At 43.9% G+C, this 25,524-nt stretch overlaps 1 protein-coding gene across 4 annotated transcripts in view; it reads right to left on the reverse strand.

Annotated features, from left to right (window-relative positions):
- OSBPL10 (oxysterol binding protein like 10) overlaps window positions 1-9,521 on the reverse strand; it is a 416,868-nt gene extending 407,347 nt beyond the window's left edge. For 2 of the 4 annotated variants that reach the window (XM_047447389.1, XM_047447385.1), the window contains exon 1: window positions 9,225-9,408. The gene's annotated coding sequence lies outside the window, so the exon portion shown is untranslated. Of the gene's footprint in view, window positions 1-9,224 lie in introns of all 4 variants that reach the window. The other 2 variants (XM_047447390.1, XM_047447386.1) reach the window with 2 other exon arrangements.
- Between the last annotated feature and the right edge of the window lie 16,003 nt (window positions 9,522-25,524).

Consider the following 25,524-nt stretch of genomic DNA (forward strand, 5'->3'; position numbering starts at 1 on the left):
GACACATTTTATCTGTGGACCCAAAACTCCGGCGCCAGTCACGGACTCGGGAAGACAGTCTTCCCTTGGTGTTTAATCACTGCGGGGACCCCTGCCTGATTATTCACCCACATTCCATTGGTGTCTGATCACCGCAGGGATGCCTGCCTTGGTCATTCACCCACATTCCCTTGGTGGCAAGTCAATTGCAGGGATGCCTGCTTTGGCTGCTCACCCACATTGCAGCCCAGGGCTGCTCCCCACCCCCCTTCTCCGTGTCTCTACCCTTCTCTTTAATCTTGCCTCCTTCACTATGGGCAACCTTCCACCCTCCATTCCTCCTTCTTCTCCCTTAGCCTGTGTTCTCAAGAACCTAAAACCTCTTCAACTCTCGCCTGACCTAAAATCTAAGCATCTTATTTTCTTTTGCAACACTGCTTGGCCCCAATACAAACTTGACAATGGTTCTAAATGGCCAGAAAACGGCACTTTTGATTTCTCCATCCTACGAGACCTAGATCATTTTTGTCGAAAAATGGGCAAATGGTCTGAGGTGCCTTACATCCAGGCATTTTTCACACTTCATTCTCTCCCTAGTCTCTGTTCCCAATGCAACTCATCCCAAAGCCTCCTTCTTTCCCTCCTGCCTGTCCCTTCAGTCCCAACCCCAAGTGTCACTGAGTCTTGTGAATCTTCCTTTTTTACTAACCCATCTGACCTCTCACCTCCTCCCCAGACTGCTCCTCCTCAGGTCGCTCCCCGTCAGGCTGAATCAGGCTCCAACTCTTGTTCAGCCCCTGCTCCCCTACCCTATAACCCTTCTATTACCTCCCCTCCCCACACCCGGTCTGGTTTACAGTTTCATTCTGCAACTAGCTCTCCCCCACCTGCCCAACAATTTCCTCTTAGAGAGGTGGCTGGAGTTGAAGGCATAGTCAGGGTACATGTGCCTTTTTCTCTATCAGACCTTTCACAAATCAGCCAGTGTTTAGGCTCTTTCTCATCAGACCCCACTAAATATATACAGGAATTCCGATATCTAACTCTGTCCTACAATTTAACTTAGAGTGACTTAAATGTCATCCTGACTTCTACCCTCTCCCCAGATGAACGGGAAAGAGTTTTTTTCTGTAGCCCAATCTCATGCTGATAACCACCAGCTTCATGAGCCAGACCTCCAGGAAGGCATTAGAGCAGTTCCCCGAGAAGATCCCCAATGGAACTACCAGGCAGATTCCCCAGGTATAGCTAGGCGAGATTACATGGTTTCCTGCCTAGTTGAAGGGCTTTAAAAGGCAGCTTATAAGCTGTTAATTATGACAAACTTAAAGAAACTACCCAAGGTAAAGACGAAAACCCAGCCCAGTTCATGGCCCGCTTAACAGCAACCCTTAGACGCTTTACCGCCCTAGACCCAGAGGGTCCAGAAGGCCGCCTTATTCTTAACATGCATTTTATCACCCAGTCAGCTCCTGACATTAGAAAAAAGCTTTAAAAATTGGAATCCGGCCCTCAAACCCCACAACAGGAATTAATCAACCTCACCTTCAAGGTGTACAATAATAGAGAGGCGGTAGCCAGACAGCAATGCATTTCTGAGTTACAGCTACTTGCTTCCAATGTAAGATAACCCACAACCACGGCTCCAGCATATAAGAACTTCAGAACATCAAAGCCATAGCTCCCAGGGGCTCCTTCAAAACATCCTCGTGGACCTTGCTTCAAATGCCAAAAGCCTGGCCACTGGGCCTCAGAATGCCCGCAGCCCAGGATTCTTCCTAAGACATGCCCTGTCTGTGTGGGTCCCCACTGGAGGTTGGACTCTCCGACTCACATCGCCGCTGCTTCTAAAGCCTCTGGAGCCCAAACCCAGTGTTCCCTGGCTGACTCCTTCCCAGATCTCCTCAGCTTAGCAGCTGAAGACTGACTCTGCCTGATCACATTGGAAGCCCCCTGGACCATCACGGACGCCGAGCTTTAGGTAACTCTTATGGTGGAGGGTAAGTCCGTCCCCTATTTAATTGATATGGGGGCTACCCACTCCACATTACCTTCTTTTCAAGGGCCTGTTTTCCTTGCCCCCATAACTGTTGTGGGTATTGACAGCCAAGCTTCAAAACCCCTTAAAACTACCCCACTCTGGTGCCAGCTTGGACAACATTCTTTTATGCACTCTTTTTCAGTTATCCCCACCTGTCCAGTTCCCTTATTAGGTCAAGACATTTTAACCAAATTATCTGCTTCCCTGATTATTCCTGGACTACAGTCACATCTTATCTCCACCCTTCTTCCCAACCCAAAGCCTCCTTCGTGTCTTCCTCTCATATCCCCCAACCTTAATCCACAAATATGGGACACCTCCACTCCCTCCCTGGCAACTGATCACATGCCCATTACTATCCCATTAAAACCTAATCACCCTTACCCTACAACAGGCTTTAAGGGGATTAAATCCTGTTATCACTTGCTTGCTACAGCATGGGCTTCTAAAACCTATAAATTCTCCTTCCAATTCTCCCGTTTTACCTGTTCAAAAACTAGACAAGTCTTACAGGTTAGTTCAGGATCTGCACCTTATCAACCAAATTGTTTTGCCTATCCACCCTGTGGTGCCCAACCCATACACTCTTTTGTCCTCAATACCTTCCTCCACAACTCACTATTCCGTTCTTGATCTTAAAGATGTTTTTTTCACTCTTCCCCTACACCCCTCATCCCAGCCTCTCTTTGCTTTTACCTGGACTGACCCTGACACCCATCAGTCCCAGCAGCTTACCTGGGCTGTACTGCTGCAAGCCTCCAGGGACAGCCCTCATTACTTCAGCCAAGCTTTTTCTCATGATTTACTTTCTTTCCACTCCTCTGCTTCTCACCTTATTCAATATATTGATGACCTTCTACTTTGTAGCCCCTCCTTTGAATCTTCTCAACAAGATACCCTCCTGCTCCTTCAACATTTATTCTCCAAGGGATATCAGGTATCCCCCTCCAAAGCTCAAATTTCTTCTCTGTTACCTACCTAAGTATAGTTCTTCATAAAAACACATGTGCTCTCCCTGCCAATTGGGTCTGACTGATCTCTCAAACCCCAACTCCTTCTATAAAACAACAACTCCTTTCCTTCCTGGGCATGGTTGGATACTTTCGCCTTTGGATACCTGGTTTTGCATCCTAACAAAACCATTACATAAACTCACAAAAGGAAACCTAGCTGACCTCATAAATCCTAAATCCTTTCCCCACTCCTGTTTCCATTCCTTGAAAACAGCTTTACAGACTGCTCCCACACTAGCTCTCCCTGACTCATCCCAACCCTTTTCATTACACACAGCTGAAGTGCAGGGCTGTGCAGTCGGAATTCTTACAGAAGGACCAGGACCACGCCTTGTAGCCTTTTTGTCCAAACAACTTGACCTTACTGTTTTAGGCTGGCCATCATGTCTCCATGCGGCGGCTGCCACCACCCTAATACTTTTAGAGGCCCTCAAAATCACAAACTATGCTCAACTCACTCTCTACAGTTCTCATAACTTCCAAAATCTATTTTCTTCCTCACACCTGACACATATACTTTCTGCTCCCCGGCTCCTTCAGCTGTACTCACTCTTTGTTGTGTCTCCCACAGTTACCATTGTTCCTGGCCCAGACTTCAATCCAGCCTCCCACATTGTTCCTGATACCACACCTGACCCCCATAACTGTATCTCTCTGATACACCTGGCATTCACTGCATTTCCCCATATTTCCTTCTTTCCTGTTCCTCACCCTGATCACACCTGGTTTATTGATGGCAGTTCCACCAGGCCTAATTGCCACTCACCAGCAAAGGCAGACTATGCTATAGTATCTTCCACATCTATCATTGAGGCTACCACTCTGCCCCCCTCTACTACCTCTCAGCAAGCCGAACTCATTGCCTTCACTCAAGCCCTCACTCTTGCAAAGGAATTACGCGTCAATATTTATACTGACTCTAAATATGCCTTCCATATCCTGCACCACCATGCTGTTATATGGGCTGAAAGAGGTTTCCTTACTACACAAAGGTCCTCCATCGTCAAAGCCTCTTTAATAAAAATGCTTCTCAAGGCCGCTTTACTTCCCAAGGAAGCTGGAGTCATACACTGCAAGGGCCACCAAAAGGCATCAGATCCCATTGCTCAGGGCAATGCTTATGCTGATAAGGTAGCTAAAGAAGCAGCTAGCATTCCAACTTCTGTCCCTCACGGCCAGTTTTTCTCCTTCTCATCAGTCACTCCCACCTACTCTCCCACTGAAACTTCCATCTATCAATCTCTTCCCACACAAAGCAAATTGTTCTTGGACCAAGGAAAATATCTCCTTCCAGCCTCACAGGCCCATTCTATTCTATTGTCATTTCATAACCTCTTCCATGTAGGTTACAAGCTGCTAGCCCGCCTCTTAGAACCTCTCATTTCCTTTCCATCGTGAAAATCTATCCTTAAGGAAATCACTTCTCAGTGTTCCATCTGCTATTCTACTAATCCTCAGGGATTGTTCAGGCCCCCTCCCTTCCCTACACATCAAGCTCGGGGATTCACCCTCGCCCAGGAGTGGCAAATTGACTTTACTCACATGCCCTGAGTCAGGAAACTAAAATACCTCTTGGTCTGGGTAGACACTTTCACTGGATAGGTAGAGGCCTTTCCCACGGGGTCTGAGAAGGCCACCGCGGTCCTATCTTCCTTTTTGTCAGACATAATTCCTCAGTTTGGCCTTCCCACCTCTATACAGTCTGATAGTGGATCGGCCTTTACTAGTCAAATCACCCAAGCAGTTTCTCAGGCTCTTGGTATTCAGTGGAACCTTCATACCCCTCACCGTCCTCAATCTTCAGGAAAGGTAGAACAGACTAATGGTCTTTTAAAGACACACCTCACCAAGCTCAGCCTCCATCTTAAAAAGGACTGGACAGTACTTTGACCTTCTGCCCTTCTCAGAATTCGAGCCTGTCCTCGAGACGCTACAGGGTGCAGTCCATTTGAACTTTTATATGGATGCACTTTCTTACTCGGCCCAAACCTCATCCCAGACACCAGCCCTCTAGGCAACTATCTTCCAGTCCTCCAGCAGGCTAGACAGGACATTCACCAGGCTGCTAATCTTCTCTTGCCTACTCCAGATTCCCAGCCATATGAAGACACCCTAGCTGGACGATCAGTTCTTGTTAAGAATCTGACCCCTCAAACTCTACAACCTCGATGGACAGGACCCCACTTAGTCATCTATAGTACTCCAACTGCCATCCACCTGCAGGACCCTCCCCATTGGGTTCACTGTTCCAGAATAAAGTTGTATCCATCAGACAGACAGCCTGATATCTTCTCTTCCTCCTGGAAATTGCAAGTACTCTCCCCTACTTCCCTAAACTCACTCACATTTCTGAAGAACAGTAATGACCCTTATGAGCCTAATACATCCCTTCATTTATTAGGTCTATCCATCCTTATGCTACTCTTTGCAACGGGGCTTTATGCAGTCACCCCCACTACTTGGACTGCACCCCAAAAAACTTGTCATCCCTTCTATATTCTGTCTAGCCATACTCCTATTCACCATTCTCAACTACTCATAAATGACCTGCTCTTGTTTACACTGCCGGTTTACATTGTTTCTCCAAGCCATCACAGCTGATATCTCCTGGTGCTATCCCCAAACCGCCACTCTTGACTCCCTCTTGGAGTGGATAGATGATCTTTTCTGACAGGGCACCCTCCAATACTTCCGCCCTGATGAAGTTCTATCCTTTACTTTTATACTCACTCTTATTCTCATTCCCATTCTTATGCCACTCTCTACCTCTCCCTAGTTACCTCCAGCATACTAGCAATCTCATCCACTTTGTCCTCACTGCCGCCAATCCTTCTCTAGCAAAGAATTGTTGGCTATGCATTTCCCTTTCTTCCTGCTCTTACACAGCCATCCCCGCTCTACAGGCCGACTGGGCTACCTCTCCCACCTCCCTGCACCTCAGAACCTCCTTTAATAGCCCTCACTTTACCCGCCTGAGGAACTTCTTTACTTTCTAGACAGATTTGGTGAGAACTCCCCAGACATTTCACATCAATAAGCTGTCACACTTCTCCGCATCTACTTACGGCACCTTTCTCCTTATGTCAATTCCACGCCCCCATATTTGGACTGCTAACCACGCAAACAACTATCCCTGTTGCCACTCCTTTATGCATCTCTCGACAACAGCCTACTGGAATCCCTTTAGGCAACCTTCCACTGTCCAAATGTTCCTTTACTCTTTATCTCCAGAACCCAGCCACACACATTACCAAACAGATGGGAGCATTCCAACTTCACGTTACTGATAAGCCCTCTATCATTACTGACAAACTGAAAAACATTGGCAGTCACTATTGTTTAGGAAGACACCTACCCTGCATCTCACTGCATCCTTCGCTACCCTCCCCCTGCTCATCTGAATCTCCTCCTAGCCCCTCCTCTTGCTTGCTTATACCCAGCCCCATGAATAGCAGTGAAAGGTTACTTGTAGACACTATGCACTTTCTCATATACCATGAAAACCGAACCCCTCCCTCTATGCAGTTGCACCATCAATCCCCATTACAATCTGTAACAGCTGCTGCCCTTGCTGGATCTCTAGGATTTGGGGTGCAGGATTCCTCTTTCAGTACACCCTCTAACCTTTTCACTTTACATTTCCAGTTCTGCCTGACACAAGGTCTCTTCTTTTTATGCGGCTCTTCCACCTACATGTGCCTACCTGCCAACTGGACAAGCACATGTACTCTAGTCTTCCTTACCCCCAAAATCCAGTTTGCAGATGGGAATGAACAACTGCGGGTCCCCCTCATGACGCCAACACGACCAAAAAGAGTCATCCGACTAATCCCTTTACTTGTGGGTCTACGACTTTCTGCTTCCACTATTGTACTTGGAACTTGAATAGCAGGCATTTCAACCTCTGTCACAACATTCTGCAGCCTCTCTAATGACTTCTCCACTAGCATTACAGATGTATCACAAACTTTATCTGTTCCTCAAGCCCAGGTTGACCCTTTAGCTGCAGTTGTCCTCCAGAACCGCCAAAGCCTTGATTTACTCACTGCTGAAAAAGGAGGACTCTGTATATTTTTAAATGAAGAGTGTTGTTTTTACCTAAATCAATCTGGTCTGGTATATGACAACATAAAAAAACTCAAGGATAGAGCCCAAAAACTCACCAACCAAGCAAACAATAACATTGAACCCCCTTGGACACTCTTTAATTGGATGTCCTGGGTACTCCCAACTCTTAGTCCTTTAATACCTTTTTATCTCCTTCTTTTATTCAGACCTTGTGTCTTTCGTTTAGTTTCTCAATTCATACAAAACAGCATCCAGGCCATCACCAATAATTCTATATGACAAATCCTCCTTCTAAGAAACCCACAATATCACCCCTCACCCCAAAATCTTTCTTCAGTTGAATCTTTCCCACTGTAGGTTTCCACACAGCCCCTAATCCCGCTTGAAGCAGCCCTGAGAGACATTGCCCATTATCTCTCCATACCACCTCCAAAATTTTTTGCCGCTCCAACACCTCACCACTATTTTGTTTTGCTTTTCTTATTAATATAAGAAGACAGGAATGTCAGGCCTCTGAGCCCAAGCTAAGCCATCATATCCCCTGTGACCTGCACATATACATCCAGATGGCCTGAAGCAACTGAAGATCCACAAAAGAAATGAAAATAGCCTTAATTGATGACATTCCACCATTGAGATTTGTTTCTGCCCCAGCCTGACTGATCAATGTACTTCGTAATCTCCCCCACCCTTAAGAAGTTTCTTTGTAATTCTCCCCATCCTTGAGAATGTACTTTGTGAGATCCACCCCCTGCCTGCAAAACATTGCTCCTAACTCCACCACCTATCCCAAAACCTGTAAGAACTAATGATATGGCCAGGCGCGGTGGCTCACGCCTGTAATCCCAGCACTTTGGGAGACCGAGGTGGGTGGATCACGAGGTCAGGAGATCGAGACCATCCTGGCTAACATGGTGAAACCCCGTCTCTACTAAAAATTCAAAAATTAGCCAGGCAAGGTGGCGAGCACCTGTAGTCCCAGCTACTCAGGAGGCTGAGGCAAGAGAATGGCGTGAACCCAGGAGGCAGAGCTTGTAGTGAGCAGAGATTGCGCCACTGCACTCCAACCTGGGCAACAGAGTGAGACTCCATCTCAAAAAAAAAAAAAGAATCCCACCACCCTTTGCTGACTCTCTTTTCAGACTCAGCCTGCCTGCACCCAGGTGAAATAAACAGCCTCGTTGCTCACACAAAGCCTGTTTGGTGGTCTCTTCACACGGACACGCGTGACACAACCTTAAGGCATCTGGTCAGAGAAAGGGGATCCTTTCCCTGTTCGCCTGACAAACTTTTTTAACTGTCCAATGGGTTCATCTTGCCTACCACCTAGACAGCCGTTTTATCAAGACAGGGGAATTGCAATAAAGAAAGAGTATTTCACACAAAGCCGGCTGTGCGGGAGACCAGAGTTTTGTAACTCAAATTAGTCACCCTGAGCATTCAGGGATCAGAGTTTTTAAGGATAATTTGGTAGGTGGGGGGCCAGTGAGTCAGAAGTGCTGATTGGTAAGGTCAGAGACAAAATTACAGGGAGCCAAGCTGTCCTCTTGTGGCTGAGTCAATTCCTGGGTTGGGGCCACAAGGTCAGATGAGCCAGTTTATTGATCTGGGTGGTGCAAGCTGATCCATCAAGTGCAGGGTCTGCAAAATATCCACTGATATTTTGCAAAATAAAGCACTGATATTATCCCCAAGAACAATTTGGAGAGAGTCAGAATCTTGTAGCCCCCAGCTGTATGACTCCTAAACCATAATATCTGATCTTTTGGCCAATTTGTTAGCCCTACAAAGTCAGCCTAGTCCCCAGGCAAGAAAGGGGTTTGTTTTGGGAAAGGGCTATTATCGTCTTTGTTTTAAACTATAAACTAAGTTCTTCCCAAAGTTAGTTCAGCCTAAGCCCAGGAATGAACAAGGATAGCTTAGAAGTTAGAAGCAAGATGGAATTGGTTAGGTCAAATCTCTTTCACGGTCTCAGTTATAATTTTGCAATGGATGTTTCACTGTCATCTAAACTCTGCTCTGAGAGTGCCTGTGCTAATGTTACAGGTAGTTAACCAGGCATCAACAGGGCAGGAGAGCACTCTCCCCCACCCACTAGGAATGTTCGGTAATTATCACATTACCTCTCTAAAAGTGGTGAATTGGGAGCCAGGCGCCAGGGGAGAGGCCGTTTCCTGATGGTCCACACCTGTTGCAGTAAAGTGTGATTTGAATACTGACTCCAGGGAGAAGCAGCTTCCTGGGCATGCACATTAAAAGAGTCAAAATGGTGGTGCACAACGTTCCAGGGGCACGCCACTGGAAAAAGGAAGAAAGCCTCAGGTGGGCATGTGGACAACTTCCTAAACACACTGCACATGCTCACCTCCCAAGGGTAAGGAGGGCGCTGCATTTGCGGGCAGCCCACACTAACGGAAGAATCATGGGAAAGAGGCGAGCCTATAAAGTCCTAGGATGCAGTTAAACGTCACACTTGACCTTTGTGCCTGTTTGGGTCTCTTCCCAGCATACTTTCTTTTCCTTTCTTTCCTGTTCTGAAGCCTTTTAAATAAACTTCCACTCCTTCTCAGAAAGGAGTCGCCCTTCCTGCCTTAGTCTTTTTTTCTGCTTTATGCCCCTCAGTCGAATTCTTTCTTCTGAGGAGGCAAGAATTGAAGTTGCTGCAGACCTGTATGGATTTGCTGTCGGCAACTCGGATTCTTTCCACCAGTAACACTAAGACCCCTCCATTCTTCCTGCAGTATCTGTTCTGTGGTCAGCTAGCCTTATGGCTTCTCACCAGTCATGGTCCTGCCTCTGGAAATCCACAGAAAGACTGGCGTCTTTTGCAGAAATCAGCTGTGTCCTTAGCTCTCTCTGCAGGCAGCTGCCCCAAAGCATGATCTAAAATGTCAGAGGCACCTGCTCAGAGATCTCTGTATCTCCCCTCCTTCTTCAAATAGGGTCAGAAATTCCCACCATTACTACCACCTTTAGAAATTGTGAGTCTACATCTTCTGCCCTTTGGAAATAGACATTTTGTATCTTATGAAATATAAAAAGATTATAAATTTGTTTGCTCTTTTGGTAAGGTGATCTGTATCTTCTGTCCTTTGAGAATAGTGCTACTGTATCTTATGAAACAAGAAAAAAAAATTTTGTTCCTTTATGTTAAGGTCTGGGGACCTCGCTTCAAATGCAAATAAGTTTTGAATGGTGAATGCATAATTTCTGTTCCACTTTTCACAACTAATTCAAGTCCTGCTTGGTTCACCTTCAAAGTGTGCCTCAACTCTCCACTCAAGGTGAACCCAGCAGGATGTGAATCCCAGTTGGTTTGAAAATATTTCACTGTTGTTCTTTCGTTATAGAAACAATGCATATTTATTATAGAAAATTTAGAAGAGATAGATATCAAAAGACAGAATTACAACAAGTTTAAGCATCTCAGTTGGCTTTATTTGCAATTCTAGAATAGGCAAGACTTTTTTCCATAAAACAGAATAAGTGTTCCAATGAGCTGAGCAAGAGAGTTTGGCTTTATAGACAGAGGAGTGCTGAAGAAAGCAGAAGCAAAGAACGAAGAGTTTATCAGTTACTTTTAGACAGAACAATAGAAAAAGAACTGATTAATTAATATCAGGTTACTTCAGACTACTTCTTTGGTGTAAGGATTAAAGAAGAGGGAACTGCATTATTACACCCATTGAAGATTTAATCTGGTCCATTTGGGAAATTGGCTGTCTCTTTCTCCTGGCTTCTCAGAAGGTCAGATAGCAACTTAGTTTGTGTTTGGTGATGTGGAACTTTAGCTTGGGTGACTCCATGTTGATTTTTAGTCCAGTGTGTTGGGGCCTAGTGCAGAAACTCAGTCTAAAACAATGGCCTCCTAAAATTTTTATTTAACATACATAAGTTTTTAAAAAGTTTTCTGTACCTCCACATTTAAAATATTTTGATGTTTGATATTTCAGTTGTTTTATTAACATGCAAGTAGGTGTGTGTGTTTACACATTATTTTATGTGTGTGTATATATATACATATCATTTTGTGAACTTTTAAAATTTAATGTATCTTTATTATTTTAATATCACTAATTATTCTCTGCAACATCATTTAATAACTATATAATATACAACTATATAATTTACCTATCGTTGGACATTTAGGTTATTCTGAATTTTAAAATATTATATTATATATTTATATATCTATCATTTACACACATTGTGTAAATTAAATATATGTATAACAGACTATTATTCCTCTTGGTATACACTTACGATATTTCTTTTTTTTTGTTTTTTGAGATGGATTCTCGCTCTGTTGCCCAGGCTGGAGTCCAGTGGCGCCATCTGCAAGCTCCGCCTCCTGGGTTCACGCCATTCTCCTGCCTCAGCCTCCCCAGCAGCTGGGACTACAGGCGCCCGCCACCATGCCCGGCTAATTTTTGGTATTTTTAGTAGAGACGGGGTTTCACCCTGTTAGCCAGGATGGTCTCCATCTCCTGACCTCGTGATCCACCCGCCTCGGCCTCCCAAAGTGCTGGGATTACAGGCGTGAGCCACTGCGCCCAGCCTAGGTATTTCAATAGAAGTGGAATAAAGCCAATTTATTGTCTTTGAAAATCATGGCACTGTATGTTTCCATCCACAGAGTACAACAGAGCCCCTTTCCCCCTGTCTTCATGAACGTTGGATGGTAGCAGACCCCTCTACCTTTTATGTCAGCTACTAGAAAGAAATCAAACCTCGGTGTTGCTTCCTCCTGCAGTGTTTGAACTACCTCTGATCCGGAAAATTTTCATGTGCTCATTGGTCATTTCTGCTCATGCAAATTGTCTTTTCATGCCCTGTGCTTTTTTTCTACTAAGATACTCAGTTTTCTCTTGTCAACCTAATATAATCGAAAGGGTCAGAATCTAATTTAAAGAGCGTTTATTCAAGTGCATGAGGATGGACCGCCCAGAAACACCAACTCCAAAGGGATGGAGTCGGTGTTGCAATGTAGGGAAGTTAAGATTTCATGTATATGGGTGGAGACAGAGGAGTTTTTGGTGGGATTACATTATTCATACAAGGTTGGCACATAGTTACAGAAATTAGGTTTTAGGCAATGTTTCTTTTGAGAAGGGTATATTTTAACATCTTTTTGCAGAGGGTATGATAGTCACAGATTTTCTGTCATCTGGTTTAAGCAAAGCAGGACAACAAAAGGGAAGTTAATCTTTAGCACGTGCTATTCATTAAAAAGGCGGGAAGTTTTTGTCTCTGATTTTGTTTAATTCTCTCTAGTCATTGTACAGAACAAGAAAAATAAGAAAGCAAGTTAATCCATAGTCTGAGAACCATAAATTGTAACCATATGTGGCTCAGATCACAGTCATCTCTATCTAGGCTTAATTTTTTTGGGGGGGCGCTGGGAAGCAGGTCCCAACAGCTTTAAAACTGTATTTATTTTCACACTTTCTCTGCACAGCTTCTCACACTGTGAGAGGCTTCCTTCCCTTTTTTTTTTTTTTTTTTTAAGAGAGAGTGTCTCACTCTGTTACCCAGGCTGGAGTGCAGTGGCACAACCATGACTCACTGCAGCCTCAACCTCCTGGGCTGAAGCGATCCTCCTACCTCAGCCTCCAGAGTAGCTGGGACTACAGACATATGCCACCACACTCAGCTAATTTTTGTATTTTTTGTAGATACGAGGTTACACCATGTGGCCCAAACTCCTGAGCTCAAACAATCCTCCTGTCTTAGCTTCCGGAAGTTCTGGGATTACAGACATGAGCCACTGTACCTGGCTGACTCCTTCCCTTGATACTCAACCTAACTTAGGAGTGCCCCACCTGGAAGACCTCCAAGCTGCTGTAACATTACCTGGCCCACTCCACACTTCTGATATGGGAACCCTTGGTTCCTGTTTCCCTCTACACCACCCCCATCCCCATCACAGCAGTCATTACCTGGAAATACATTGTGATCCTGCCTGCTACAAGACAGAGCCAAAATGTGGATTTTCTCAATTTTGTCCTCCTAGTATCTCACACACAAACATACACACACACAGAGGGACTCAGCCTAAATATTTGTTAAGTAAATGTATTCGTCCATTCTCATGTTGGTAATAAAGACATACCTGAAACTGGGTAATTTGTAAAGAAAAAGAGCTTTAATAGACTCGCAATTCCACATGGCTGGGGAGGCCTCACAATCATGGTGGAAGGTGAAAGGCACATCTTATATGGTAGCAGGCAAGAGAGAGTGAGAGCCAAGTGAAAGGAGAAACCCAGTATAAAACCATCAGATCTTGTGAGACTTATTCACTACCACAAGAACAGTATAGGGGAACTGCTTCCATGATTCAAATTATCTCCCACCCTGTCCCTCCCACAACCCATGGGAATTATGGGAGCTACAATTCAAGATGAGATTTGGGTGGGGACACGGACAAACCATATTAGTATATAAACACACATACATATGCCATAACTGCTAGGGGAAAATATTCAAAACCATTGGCTTGCTAAAGTGAATCAATATCTTTATATGTGAAAGCTAGTTTGGAGTATACATGTGATATCTCCTTCTCCTGGTAAACTATAGAACTCTCCTCTTGAGGAATTACTCTGCTCTGGAGAAGAGTTTTCAGGATGCTGACATGTGGGTGTGCCCCCACTGAAAAAGACTTGCTTGTAGATCAGTAAGGTATCTATGGGTTACAGTAATCTATTGCACATTTCAAAATAGCTAGGAGAGAAGAATAGGAATGGTTTTAGCAGAAAGAAAATATAAATATTTATGGTGATGCATATCCCAATTACGCTGGTTTAATCTTTGCAAATTATATGAATGTATTAAATTATCACAAATGGCCTGAAACTATATACATTTGTTATGCATCAATTTTAAAAAAATTAAGGCTTACTTGCAACCCAGTCACCCTCTGTTGACAAGTCGTGCCAGTCCACTTAGAGCCATTTCACTCTTATACCAACAGCCACACATCACCAAACATTTGACAGTCTCCAACATAAAAAAGACAACACAAACAGGATCACATAAACATGAAAGAAAATCAAAACCTATAATAAACATCTTCACAGAAATAAAAAGAATAATGAGAAAGAGCTCTTGGAAATGGAAAATAATATGGCTTTAATTTTTTAGAGAAATGCACCAAAAGGGTTAAAAGATGAAATCCAGAAAGTGAAGATGAGTACAAGCAAACAATTGGAAATAAGAAAAGAAAAGACTTCAGGAAAGGTGACAATGCTAAATGATAAAATTTCAAATAGAAACTACAGAGAAAATGAAAAGGAGTTACTCCTTGAATAAATAACACAAAACATTCTATGAAACTGAAAAACACAATCATTCAGATTTAAAAGACACAGAGTACCCAGCACCCTGAATTTTAAAAGCTTGTGACAGGACTCTAAGCATGAAAGCAGGGGATAAAAAGAGGATCCTAAAACTTTCAGAGACAGAGGAAATGAAAAAAAAAATCCAAGGTATCTGTTCAAAGAAAAACCTTAGACAAAGCAACTTTGCAGAGTTTAACTGGGCAAAAGAATTATTTGTGAATTGGGCAGCCTCCAGAGCCAGAGTAGACTCAGAGGCTCCAGCACAGCCACGTGGTGGAAAAAGATTTATGGACAGAAAAAGGAAAGTGACGGACAGAAAACCAAAAAGAGATACACAAAAAGCTGGATTGGTTACAGCCCAGCCTTATTTGAACACTGTTTAACAGCTTGATTAGCCAAAACTCGGTGATTGGTGCAAGAGTAGGTTACAGTGTTTATCTCTCCATTTAGGTTATAGTTCACTATGTACAGAGAAACCTTTAGTTCAAACTTAAAATATGTAAGGAGGAAACTTTAGGTTAAACTTGGTTTAACAGGTCATATACAAAGAAACTATAATAATGAAGAATCTAAGCAGTGTTAATATAGAAATATGTATAAAAGTGGAGTGGCATAATCAAGGCAGAAATTTATTCTGAACTCATATCACAGTTCAGAGGTAAAGTCCAGAGCAAGAATGGCAGCTCTGGGAACCTCATCACACAGCTTCCAACCCAGAATTCAAGGTGGCAGCCAGGTCCCCCGATCATGTCTGCACCTGTCCATGGGGAAGAAGGGAATGGGAAAGGCCATTGGCTGCTGATTCCTTCCAGGCATAATCCGAAAGTGGAAAATATCATTTCAACTCAACACTCCACTGGCCGAACTTAGTTACATGTCCATAAAGTGCTGCAAGGAGGGCTAGGGAATGTCATCTCCAGCCAGGCTAAAAGTTAGGCATTATTTTACTAAGGAAAAAAATGGATACTGAAAGAGAAATAGAAGCCTCTGCCACAAATAGGAATCAAAACAGAATCATATTTCTTCACAGCATCACTGTGATACTAGTAGTCAATGAAATAATGTCTTCATTGTTTGGTGGGTAAAAGACACTTACCCTAGAATGCCATTTTAGTCTGTTATCAAAAGTGAGTTTCAGTAAGGCAATAAGACATAAACAGAGAGTTTTCTGAAAATTACTGAATGGTGTGCTCTAATTAAACACAGAGTAATCCAAGAAAGAGGAGTACAGCGGGTCTAAGAAGGAGGCCTGGAGGGCAAATAGTGCAGGCTGACAGATGGATGGCTCTGGGAAGGAAGTCTCCAGGAAAAAATGAAATCAATAAATTACCTAATAAATTTGTATTTGATCATTTGTGAACAACTACTAGCAGACATGTACTAGATCCAGTGAAAACAAGTAGGGAAAAATAACCTGTAAGGATAAAAAGATGAATAGTATATGGGTAAAAAATGCAAAGGCAATCATCAAGTCGGCGGGGGTGTGGGGAGAGCACACTAGAGAAAATTTAATTATAGAACATGATCTGGCACTATAGCTAAATATATTTTCTTTCTTTTTTTCCTTTTTTTTTTTTTTTTTTTTTTAGTTGGAGTCTTGCTCTGTCACCCAGGCTGGAGTGTAATGGTGCAATCTTGGCTCACTGCAACCTCTGCCTCCTGGGTTCAAGTGATTCTCCTGCCTCAGCCTCCCAAGTAGCTGGAACTACAGTCATGCGCCACCACTCCTGGCTAATTTTTGTATTTTTAGTAGAGACCGGGTTTCACCATGTTGGCCAGGATGGTCTCGATCTCTTGACTTCATGATCCACCTGCCTTGGCCTCCCAAAGTGCTGGGATTACAGGCATGAGCCACCGCGCCTGGCCACTAAATATATTTTCATGACACAATGATGTAGACTGATCGCTGAATTAACCCAGAGCTGTGGCATAACTGGAAATGGAGAAGAGAGGGAGAGGGAATGTGTGCATGGGAAGGGTGAGTGTTGGAGAAGTAAAGTGTCACTTACTATTCTAGGAAGCCTAAAAATCAAGAGGTAGCAGAACACTCCACTTTATTTATAATAAGCAAAATATAATTTACACTAAATAGAGAATATTTTTGCCTATTCTGTTGAAAACCCAAAAGTTCAAAGTACACTCCCTCAGCAAGGCCGTGGGAAAGCAGTCATGCCCACACATTGCTGGTAAGAATGCACACTGGCCTAGCCCCTGGGGAGGTCCATGCAGCCATACCTCTCAAAATGACAAACGTGTACACCCCATGACCCAACAGTTCCATTCTGGACATTTATCTTAGTGTATTAGTGTGTTCTCATGCTGCTGATAAAGACATACCCAAGACTGTGTAATTTATAAAGAAAAAGAGTTTTAACAGACTCACAGTTCCACGTGACTGGGGAGGTCTCACAATCAAGGTGGAAGGCAGGTGGCATGTCTTACATGGTGGCAGACAAGAGAGAAAACTTGTGCAGGGAAACTCCCCTTTGTAAAACCATCAGATCTCATGAGTCTCATTCACTATCCCGAGAACAGCACAGGAAAGATCTGCCCCCATGATTCCCACTGGGTCCCTCCCATGACATGTGGGAGCTACAATTCAAGGTGAGATTTGGGTGGGGACACAGCCAAACCATATCACTTAGCAACACACTTGAAACAGGAAAAGTTCCCTTGTCCCCCTCACAGGGCATGTGATGGGGGTGTGGCTCACTTCTTCAGTATCCTGCTGTTCAAACCTCTAGGGGAGCATACAGTCAGTGAGGCTGTGGGTCTCCAACCCCACAGCAGTGTCTAGGGGCATGTACAGCTGAAGCCCCAGTGGGCGTGTGTTAACAGGCTGCTCTTTTAGTTTAGCCGTCCATAGGCAGCTTGTGTTAGTCAGCTCAATTAGACCCCTGCCTTATGGCAAGGACAGAGGCTATCAGTATCCCAGGCCTCTTGCCTTGGTGTACCAGAAGAATCAGATCACACATGGGCTTGGAGAATGAGTGCAAGGTTTTATTGAGTGGAAGTAGCCCTCAGCAGATGGGGCAGCCAAAAGGGAGATGGTTTTCCCCTGGAATCAGGCTGCTTGGCATCTTGGGCTCTCCTCCAGCTACCCTGGACAAACTCTGCCTCGTTCCACCAGTCGATGGCATGCAAGTGTGCTGGCGTCTGTCGTGTGCTCTTCCGCTGGCATGCTCCTCTCAATGTCCTCTTGACGTCCAGCCACTTGTGTCTTCTTCCACCGATGTGTTCCTCACAACATCCAGTGGCTTGTGTGTGTGGCTGCTAGGGTCTCAGGGTTTTTATCGGCACAGGATGGGAGCATGGCAGGCCAGGGTGGTCTTGGGAAATGCAACATTTGCATGCAAAGGCAGGAATGCCTGTCCTCACCTAGCTCCTTGGGCACAGGCCTGGAGGTGGAGCCCTAGCCAGGGGCCATGCCCTCCTCTACCCAACACTTCCCTGCCCCCCTTCCATATCAGTGTCATACATGGGCAAAATAACATCTGTATGTGTTTATTCACTGCAGCATTTTTTATAAAGAAAATATTGGAAATTATGCAAATGTCCATCAGCTTTTAAAAAAGAATAAGGGTGTTTTTGAATATGTTTGCTATAACAAACAACCTTAGACTGGATGGCTTAAACAACAAACATTTATTTCTCATGGTTCAGTGACTGGAAGTCTGAGATCAGGGTGCTAGTATGAGCAGGTTCTTGGTGAGAGCCCAAGAGGTCATGTCCTCACGTGGCCTTTCTTTGGTGGTGCACACAGACAGGAAGGAAGCTCTCTCATGTCTCTTCATACAAGGGCACTAATCCCATCATGAGTGCTCCATCCTCATGATCTACTTACCTCCCAAAAGCCCCATCTCTAAATACCATCACACTGTGGATTGGGTTTTCAACATATAATTTGGGAAGACACAAACATTCAATCCACAGTAGATGCTCTCTGTATTTATTGAAATGGCATGATTATCTTCTTAGCTGAAAAAAGTAAGCTGCAGAACAGTGTGTATATGACATCATCATCTGCGCTGTTCACCAGCTTCCCTGGACTCCTGGGCACAAGATAAGTTCCCACTTCCCTGCCCCTTTGTGTGATGGTTACTATGGGACTGAATGAAGGGGGATGAATGCAGAAATGAAAACTTAAGACAAAAGAGTCTGTTTTAAAGAAGGTGTCAGGGGGCTCCTTGTTTCTAGTGAGCAAGGGCCTTGAGCTTCCACAGCCCTTCCACAGTATAGGTAATAATACTATTACTATAAATTTATTGGGTAGAAAGAGCAGGGAGGAGGAGGTAATGATTAGTCAGCTGCTTGATTGATCACAGGTTCACATTATTGATAACAGGCTTCAGATGTGCCTAATCACAAGAAACCCTGCGCCTGGGGCATGACTGTCCTCAGCGTTTCTTCTGGGCAGCAGATGCAGTTTGTCAGTTTGCCAACATCCTGCTTTCATGAGAAGAGTTTGCTGTTTACTCATATAGCCTCCAGTGGTAAACTGAGTTTATCACGACCCTCATTCTTTTGGCCTCCAACATCTCCCTCTTTTTGTTTTTGCATTAACTGAATAAGATCTGTCCCTATGTTATGGGGGTTGATGTCAGCGTGACTCCGGTCAGTCCTTGCTCTGTCTTCTCGCATTCAGATTCAACTGGCTCATGGCTCATACTGGGGGAACCAGGCCTGTGCTTGGGATCCATAGGTCCCTCCAGTCTACCGTTCCATGGTCGCACACACCTTGAGGGTACCCACAAGGTTTGTCCGTCTCCTATAAAAACTCAAGCATACCCTTGTCCCCATGTTAGTAAATCCACTGAAAACTTTCCACTGATAATGAGAGACAGGCTCTTTCTGATTAACAGAAGGCGCAGAGAAAGCAAATCGAGGCCTATCCTTCTTGTGCAATAGTATAACAACAACAAAAAAAAATCCTTAAAATCTATCACTATGAGAAGCCTGTCCCTCGGAATGGCCGCGGGGGATGGCAGACCCTGCTGCAATGCACCCACTGGTTTAATCTGTGCATTAATAGCTCTCAAATCATGTAGCAATCGCCACCTTCCTGACTTTTTTGGAATCACAAATACTGGTATCAGTTTATCCTGTGATAAAGGCCATTGCTCCACCCATACAGGTTTGTTAGTCAGCCACTCTAATGGCAAAGCAGTGGGTGGAGGAGGAATATCAATGACCCTCGTCAGAAATCCTGATGACTTAGCCCTTTTCTATCTGTCTGTTCAGTTATTGATAATGATTCAGGGTTTCCTTGGAGGGGCTTTCCTAAGACATTTCTGCTCTGAGATCCCATTTTCTTTAACATTGTAAATCCTAGATTATCAATAGTTTCATTTGTAAGTCTCATATCTCATGCTGTAAGTAAATCTTGACCCCATAGATTAACAGCTATATTTGCAACATAACGTTGAAAAGTACATGACTGTCCATCCACTCCAAGACAGGGCAAAATCGCAGCTCTCTGTTGAACACTTTGAGCTGTTCCTACTCCCACTAGGGATGTAGAAGTTAATTGCAGAGGCCAGGACGGGGGCCAATTGTTTTTAGATATTACTGACACATCAGCTCCCATATCCATAAGCCCATAAAACTTCTTTCCTTTAATTTGCACTGTACAGTGGGTCTATTAGATGCTATGGGTTGTGATAGATAAATTTCCCTCCTAGTTGTACTCCCAAATCCTTTATTCTCTCATTTCTCCTTAAGTGGAGAAGGGTGTAATTTACAGGGAATAAGCAACAGTCAAGCAATACATTCTCCCGGTTCAAAAACCCAAAGATCTTGTGACATCACCATCACCTGAATTTCTCCTTCATAATTCAAATCAACAACTCCTGGGACTACAGTAATGCCCTGTAGGTTAAGATGACTTTTGCCTAAAATTAATCCCATACATCCTGTTGGCAAGGGTCCCCAAATACCAGTGGGAATATTGGCGAGTTTGTCTCCTCCAACTAATGCAACCCATTCTCTGACTGGGAGATCTAATCCTGTACTTCCAGGTGTTCTTAAGCCTTTTGTACATCTCACAGATGCCAGTGCACATTTACAATCCATGTTTGCATCCCCAAAAGCCAAAGCCAATGCTAGCATTTCTGCAGCCACAGAAGAAGACAGTACAAGCCAATTATCATCCTCCCTCTCCTGTTCACCATTTTCAATAGGTGCTGTGGGTAGGGCAAAAGACTCTCTCAAATTTTCAGAACATAACTCCTGCTGTCCCGCTAAATAAGAAGGAAACAATGGCAAAGAACAGCATGGGCCAAACTCCAAACAAAAACAGAAAGAATAGATAAATTCTGCCCCATGTTACCTTGATTCAGAAACTTCCCATTCCCAGTACCTCTTTAGGACACTGACCTTATATCAGCTGCCGGCAGACTCGTCCCGGGGTTTCTCGTTCATCTGGTCAGTTTTACTTTCTCTGCTCCAGCAGACCTTCTTCATTCATGTCCCTGTATGTCCCTGTCGGTTCCTGTTAGTCCCTGCAAGTCTCTTCTAGTTCCTATTTTTCCCTATTGTCTCTATTTTTCTCTATTTATCTCTATTTGTCCCTGCAGGTCCCTGTTTAGGCACCACTTGTGATGGTTACTATGGGACTGAACAAAGGGGGATGAATGCAGAAATGAAAAACAAAAACAAAATAATCTGTTTTAAAGAAGGGGTCAGGGGGCTCCTTGCTTCTAGTGAGCAAGGGCCTTGAGCTTCCACAGCCCTTCGTATTTATTGGGTAGAAAGAGCAGGGAGGAGGAGGTAACAATTGGTCAGCTGCTTGACTAATCACAGGTTCACATGTGCCTAATCACAAGAAACACTGCTCCTTGGGCATGACCACCCTCAGCATTCCTTCTGGGTGGCAGATGCAGTTTGTCAGTTTGCCAACATCCTGCTTTCACGAGAACAGTTTGCTGTTTATTCATATAGCCTCTAGAGGTATACTGAGTTTATCATGACCCTTATTCTTTCGGTCTCCAACACCTTTAATCTGTCAGGTCCGTGTAACATGCTTTGGTCAATGAACCGGAGCAGAGGAGATATGCGTCAACTCCGGGAGAAAGGCTTTCAGGGCCAGTGAGGCTTTAATCTGTCAGGTCCATGTAACATGCTTTGGTCAATGAACTGGAGCAGAGGAGATATGGGTCAACTCTGGGAGAAAGGCTTTCAGGGCCAGTGAGTGATTAGTCATGTTCCCTGCCCACTCCCATCACAAACATGACCCTCCAGATGGTAGACACTCAGTTGGTTTGCAATCCTGGGTGAGGAAAATGTGAATCCCCAGCCAGCCCAGGATGGACACACAGCATGTGGGAGAAAGAAGCCATGAAGATGCATGAATTTTTTGTTATTGCAACATATTCTCCTTTATTGTGACTGGTACAGGCTAGTATAGCACCTTTTGTGTAAAAAAAGAAAAGGGCAGAAAAATTAACCCTTTTCTTGTTTAGAAAAACAAAGTGGGCCAGGCATGGTGGCTTATGCCTCTAATCCGAGCATTCTGGGAGGCAACAGCGGACAGATCACCGAGGTCAGGAGTTCAAGACCAGCCTGGGCCAACAAGTCGAAACCCCATCCCTACTGAAAATACAAAACTTAGTCAGGCGTGGTGATGCCCACCTGTAATCCCAGCTACTAGCGAGGCTGAGGCAGGAGAAATGCTTGGACCTGGGAGGTGGAGGTTGCAGTGAGCCAAGATTGCGCCACTGCACTCCAGCCTAGGTGATAAAGCAAGACTCCTTCTCAAAAAAAAAAAAAAAAAAAAAAGAAAAGAAAAGAGAAAGAAAGTGCAGCTCGCTGCCAGTGCTCATTTAATTTTACATAAACATGCTCTTAGAGACTGAAGCAAATCTGACTGATTTTCAATGCGAATATAAAATATGAAAACTGTTCTTGGAGTTATTTCTAAACAGAGCTAACATCAGAGTTGTCTGAATCACCAGAATCATCTATTTCAGAAAAATTGAATTCATCAAATGAATCTTCAGCCAACAACTCTTTGAGAACAATGTTAACATCACGTATAGGAATGCTACATTTTTTAGGATTTGCCACCTTCAGTGATTGAGAAATATTATATTTTGTAAATGGAAATACCACTACTAAAAACGTAATGCTATAAATATTAGAATTATGTCTTTTGTTTCCAAAGTTGATATACTAGAGCAATGCAAAAATAATAATACAAGCAAGATATTTTGTGGCATAGTTATCTTAGGGCAAATGCTGCAGTGGCAAGCACTACTAGCAAGTATTCTTGGGGCAAACGGGAAAAGGACTAAATGTATAATGGTATTTTCTCATATGCAGGCATACACAAAAAACAAATAATAGTGGTTACCTGAGAAATGGAGTTGGGTAGGAATTGGATAGAGGACAAGAGGAAGAGAACTGCTCTTTACTGTACATCTTTTTATATGTTCCATTTTAGAACAATGTGATTTCATTACTTATTCAGACACTTTAATTTAAAAAAATAAATAGAAGCATAAGGACATTATGTAGAAATATGGAAGTAAATACCAGAAGAAATATTGAAAGTGGTTGTTTCTAAGGAGTAGAATCTGGAGAGAGGGTTGCTGCTTTCCATTTAGTATTTACTATTTCCACTTAGATTTAGTAGTTGGTACTAGATCATTTTAAAAACCACGTGCATGTACTAGATTTTTGATTTTTAAAAATTAAGAGAAAAAACCCCAGAGAGTGACCAACCAAACGTCATGTGAAGCAATATTGCAAGGGCTAAATTTTATCCACGTCTCATATGTTGAGAAGTGACATAAGAATATAAATTTTTGAACTGCTCCAAAATGCCAATCTTTTACAAATTAAATCACATCTCTTATACTTGCAGGTCATTCATGGAAAACTGCAATCAGTCTTGAATGCTGTCTGGCATAAAATATAAAGCAAGGATTGGTATCTGATTTCATAGTTTAGAAAAGAGGAAAACCAGAAAAGCCACAGATACTTTTGCTTTTGCCAAGAAGGCAACTTCTGCCTCAAAACATCCTCTGTCCTATCCCCCTCCCACCACCACCTACCTAGCTGTCCAAGTAAAAAATCTGAAAGTCATCGTTAACTCTCCCCAACATTGCCAGATCTGGTGGGTTCTACCTATAGTCCTGGATCACTTAGGTTCAAATGCTAGATCCTATAGGTTCTTCCTTTAACTGGTCCACTTTTTTCCATCCCTTTTGTATGCAACAGCCTCTTACTTAACTGTTCTTGTTACTTCCAACTTTGCCCCTTCTAGGACATCTGCTTTGCTGCAACACGAGTAATCTTTTTTTGTTTTGTTTTGTTTTGAGACTGAGTCTCGCTCTGTCGCCCAGGCTAGAGTGCAATGGCGTGATCTCGGCTCACTGCAAGCTCCGCCTCCCGGGTTCACGCCATTCTCCTGCCTCAGCCTCCCGAGTAGCTGGGACTACAGGCGCCAGCCACACGCGTGGCTAATTTTTTGTATTTTTTTAGTAGAGACGGGGTTTCACCGTGTTAGCCAGGATGGTCTTGATCTCCTGACTTTGTGATCCTCTCGCCTCAGCCCCCCAAAGTGCTGGGATTACAGGGGTGAGCCACTGCTCCCGGGCAAGAGTAATCTTTTAAAAACAAATATGGCTACCTCACTCACCAACCTAAACACTTCAATATTCCCTCAGTGTCTCCAAAAGAAAATCAAAAGCTCTATGACAGAAGCCTGCATTATCTGGCCTCCACCAAACTGTCTGCCTTATCTGTCTTTATTCTGTTTTTCTTAATCCTTTTTTCTTTCCTTTCTTTCTTCTTTTTTTTTTTTTTTTTTTTTGAGATGAAGTTTCACTCTTGTTGCCCAGGCTGGAGTGCAATGGCACCATCTCAGCTCACTGCAAGCTCCGCTTCCTGGGTTCAAGCGATTCTCCAGCCTCAGCCTCCCGAGTAGCTGGGATTACAGGCATGTGCCACCACTTCCGGCTAATTTTGTATTTTTAGTAGAGACGGGGTTTCTCCATGGAGGTCAGGCTGGTCTTGAACTCCCAACCTCAGGTGATCCACCCACCTCAGCCTCCCAAAGTGCTGGGATTACAGGCGTGACCCACCATGCCCGGCCTCCTTTTTTCTTTTTTATTGACTTTGTTTCTGATTTTTAAAAACACCTTATCTATCTATCTATCTATCTATCTATCTATCTATCTATCTATCTTGAGGCAAGGTCTGTCACCCAGGCTGGAGTGCAGTGGTATGATCTCTGCTCACTGCAGCCTCAATCCCGGGGGCTCAAGCAATCCTGCCACCTCAGCCCCCTGAGTAGGTGGGACTACAGGTGCTTGCCACCATGCCTGGCTAATTCTTGTAATTTTTGTAGAGACAGTTTCACCATGTTTCTCAGGCTGGTCTCGAACTCCTGAGCTCAAGGGATCCTCCCACCTCAGCCCCTAAAGTGCTGGGATTACAGGTGTGCACCACGGCACATGGCCGTTCATCTGTCTTTATGGCTTGAATTATCCTCCAACTTATTGAATTTTCATTTTCTCAAAAGAACCGATGACTATTTTCATTTTGCCTCCTAACCTTCACCCATGCTGTTCTCTCTGCTTCAAACACTCTTCCCCGACTTAATTCCTACTCATCCTTCAATTCAGGAATCCAGAAGGTCTTACCTGACACCTTGGGTCCAGGTTGCTGCCCCTCCCATTTGTTCTGGCGTCCCTCATCTCTCATCAGGGGAACATAAGGGTGGATAGTTTTGTAGATACCTGCTTTGTTCTTTATCTAGTCTCCCTTCTGGACTGTAAGTTCCATGAGGGCAGGGACTTTGTTTTCTTCAACATTGTGTCCTTAGCTCCTGGCACATAGTGAGTTCAGTAACTATGTGTTGAATAAACAAATGAAAAAGACAAACTAAAAACCAAGTTCAGGCTGGACACAGTGGCTCACGCCTGTAATACGAGCACTTTGGAAGACCAAGGCGGGCAGATCACTTGAGGTCAGGAGTTTGAGACCAGCCTGGCCAACATGGTGAAACCCCATCTCTACTAAAAATACAAAAATTAGCCAGGCATGGTGGCGGGCACCTGTAATCCCAGGTACTCGGGAG

The sequence above is a fragment of the Homo sapiens genome, chromosome 3, assembly GCF_000001405.40.
Source record: "Homo sapiens chromosome 3, GRCh38.p14 Primary Assembly".
Lineage (NCBI taxonomy): Eukaryota > Metazoa > Chordata > Mammalia > Primates > Hominidae > Homo > Homo sapiens.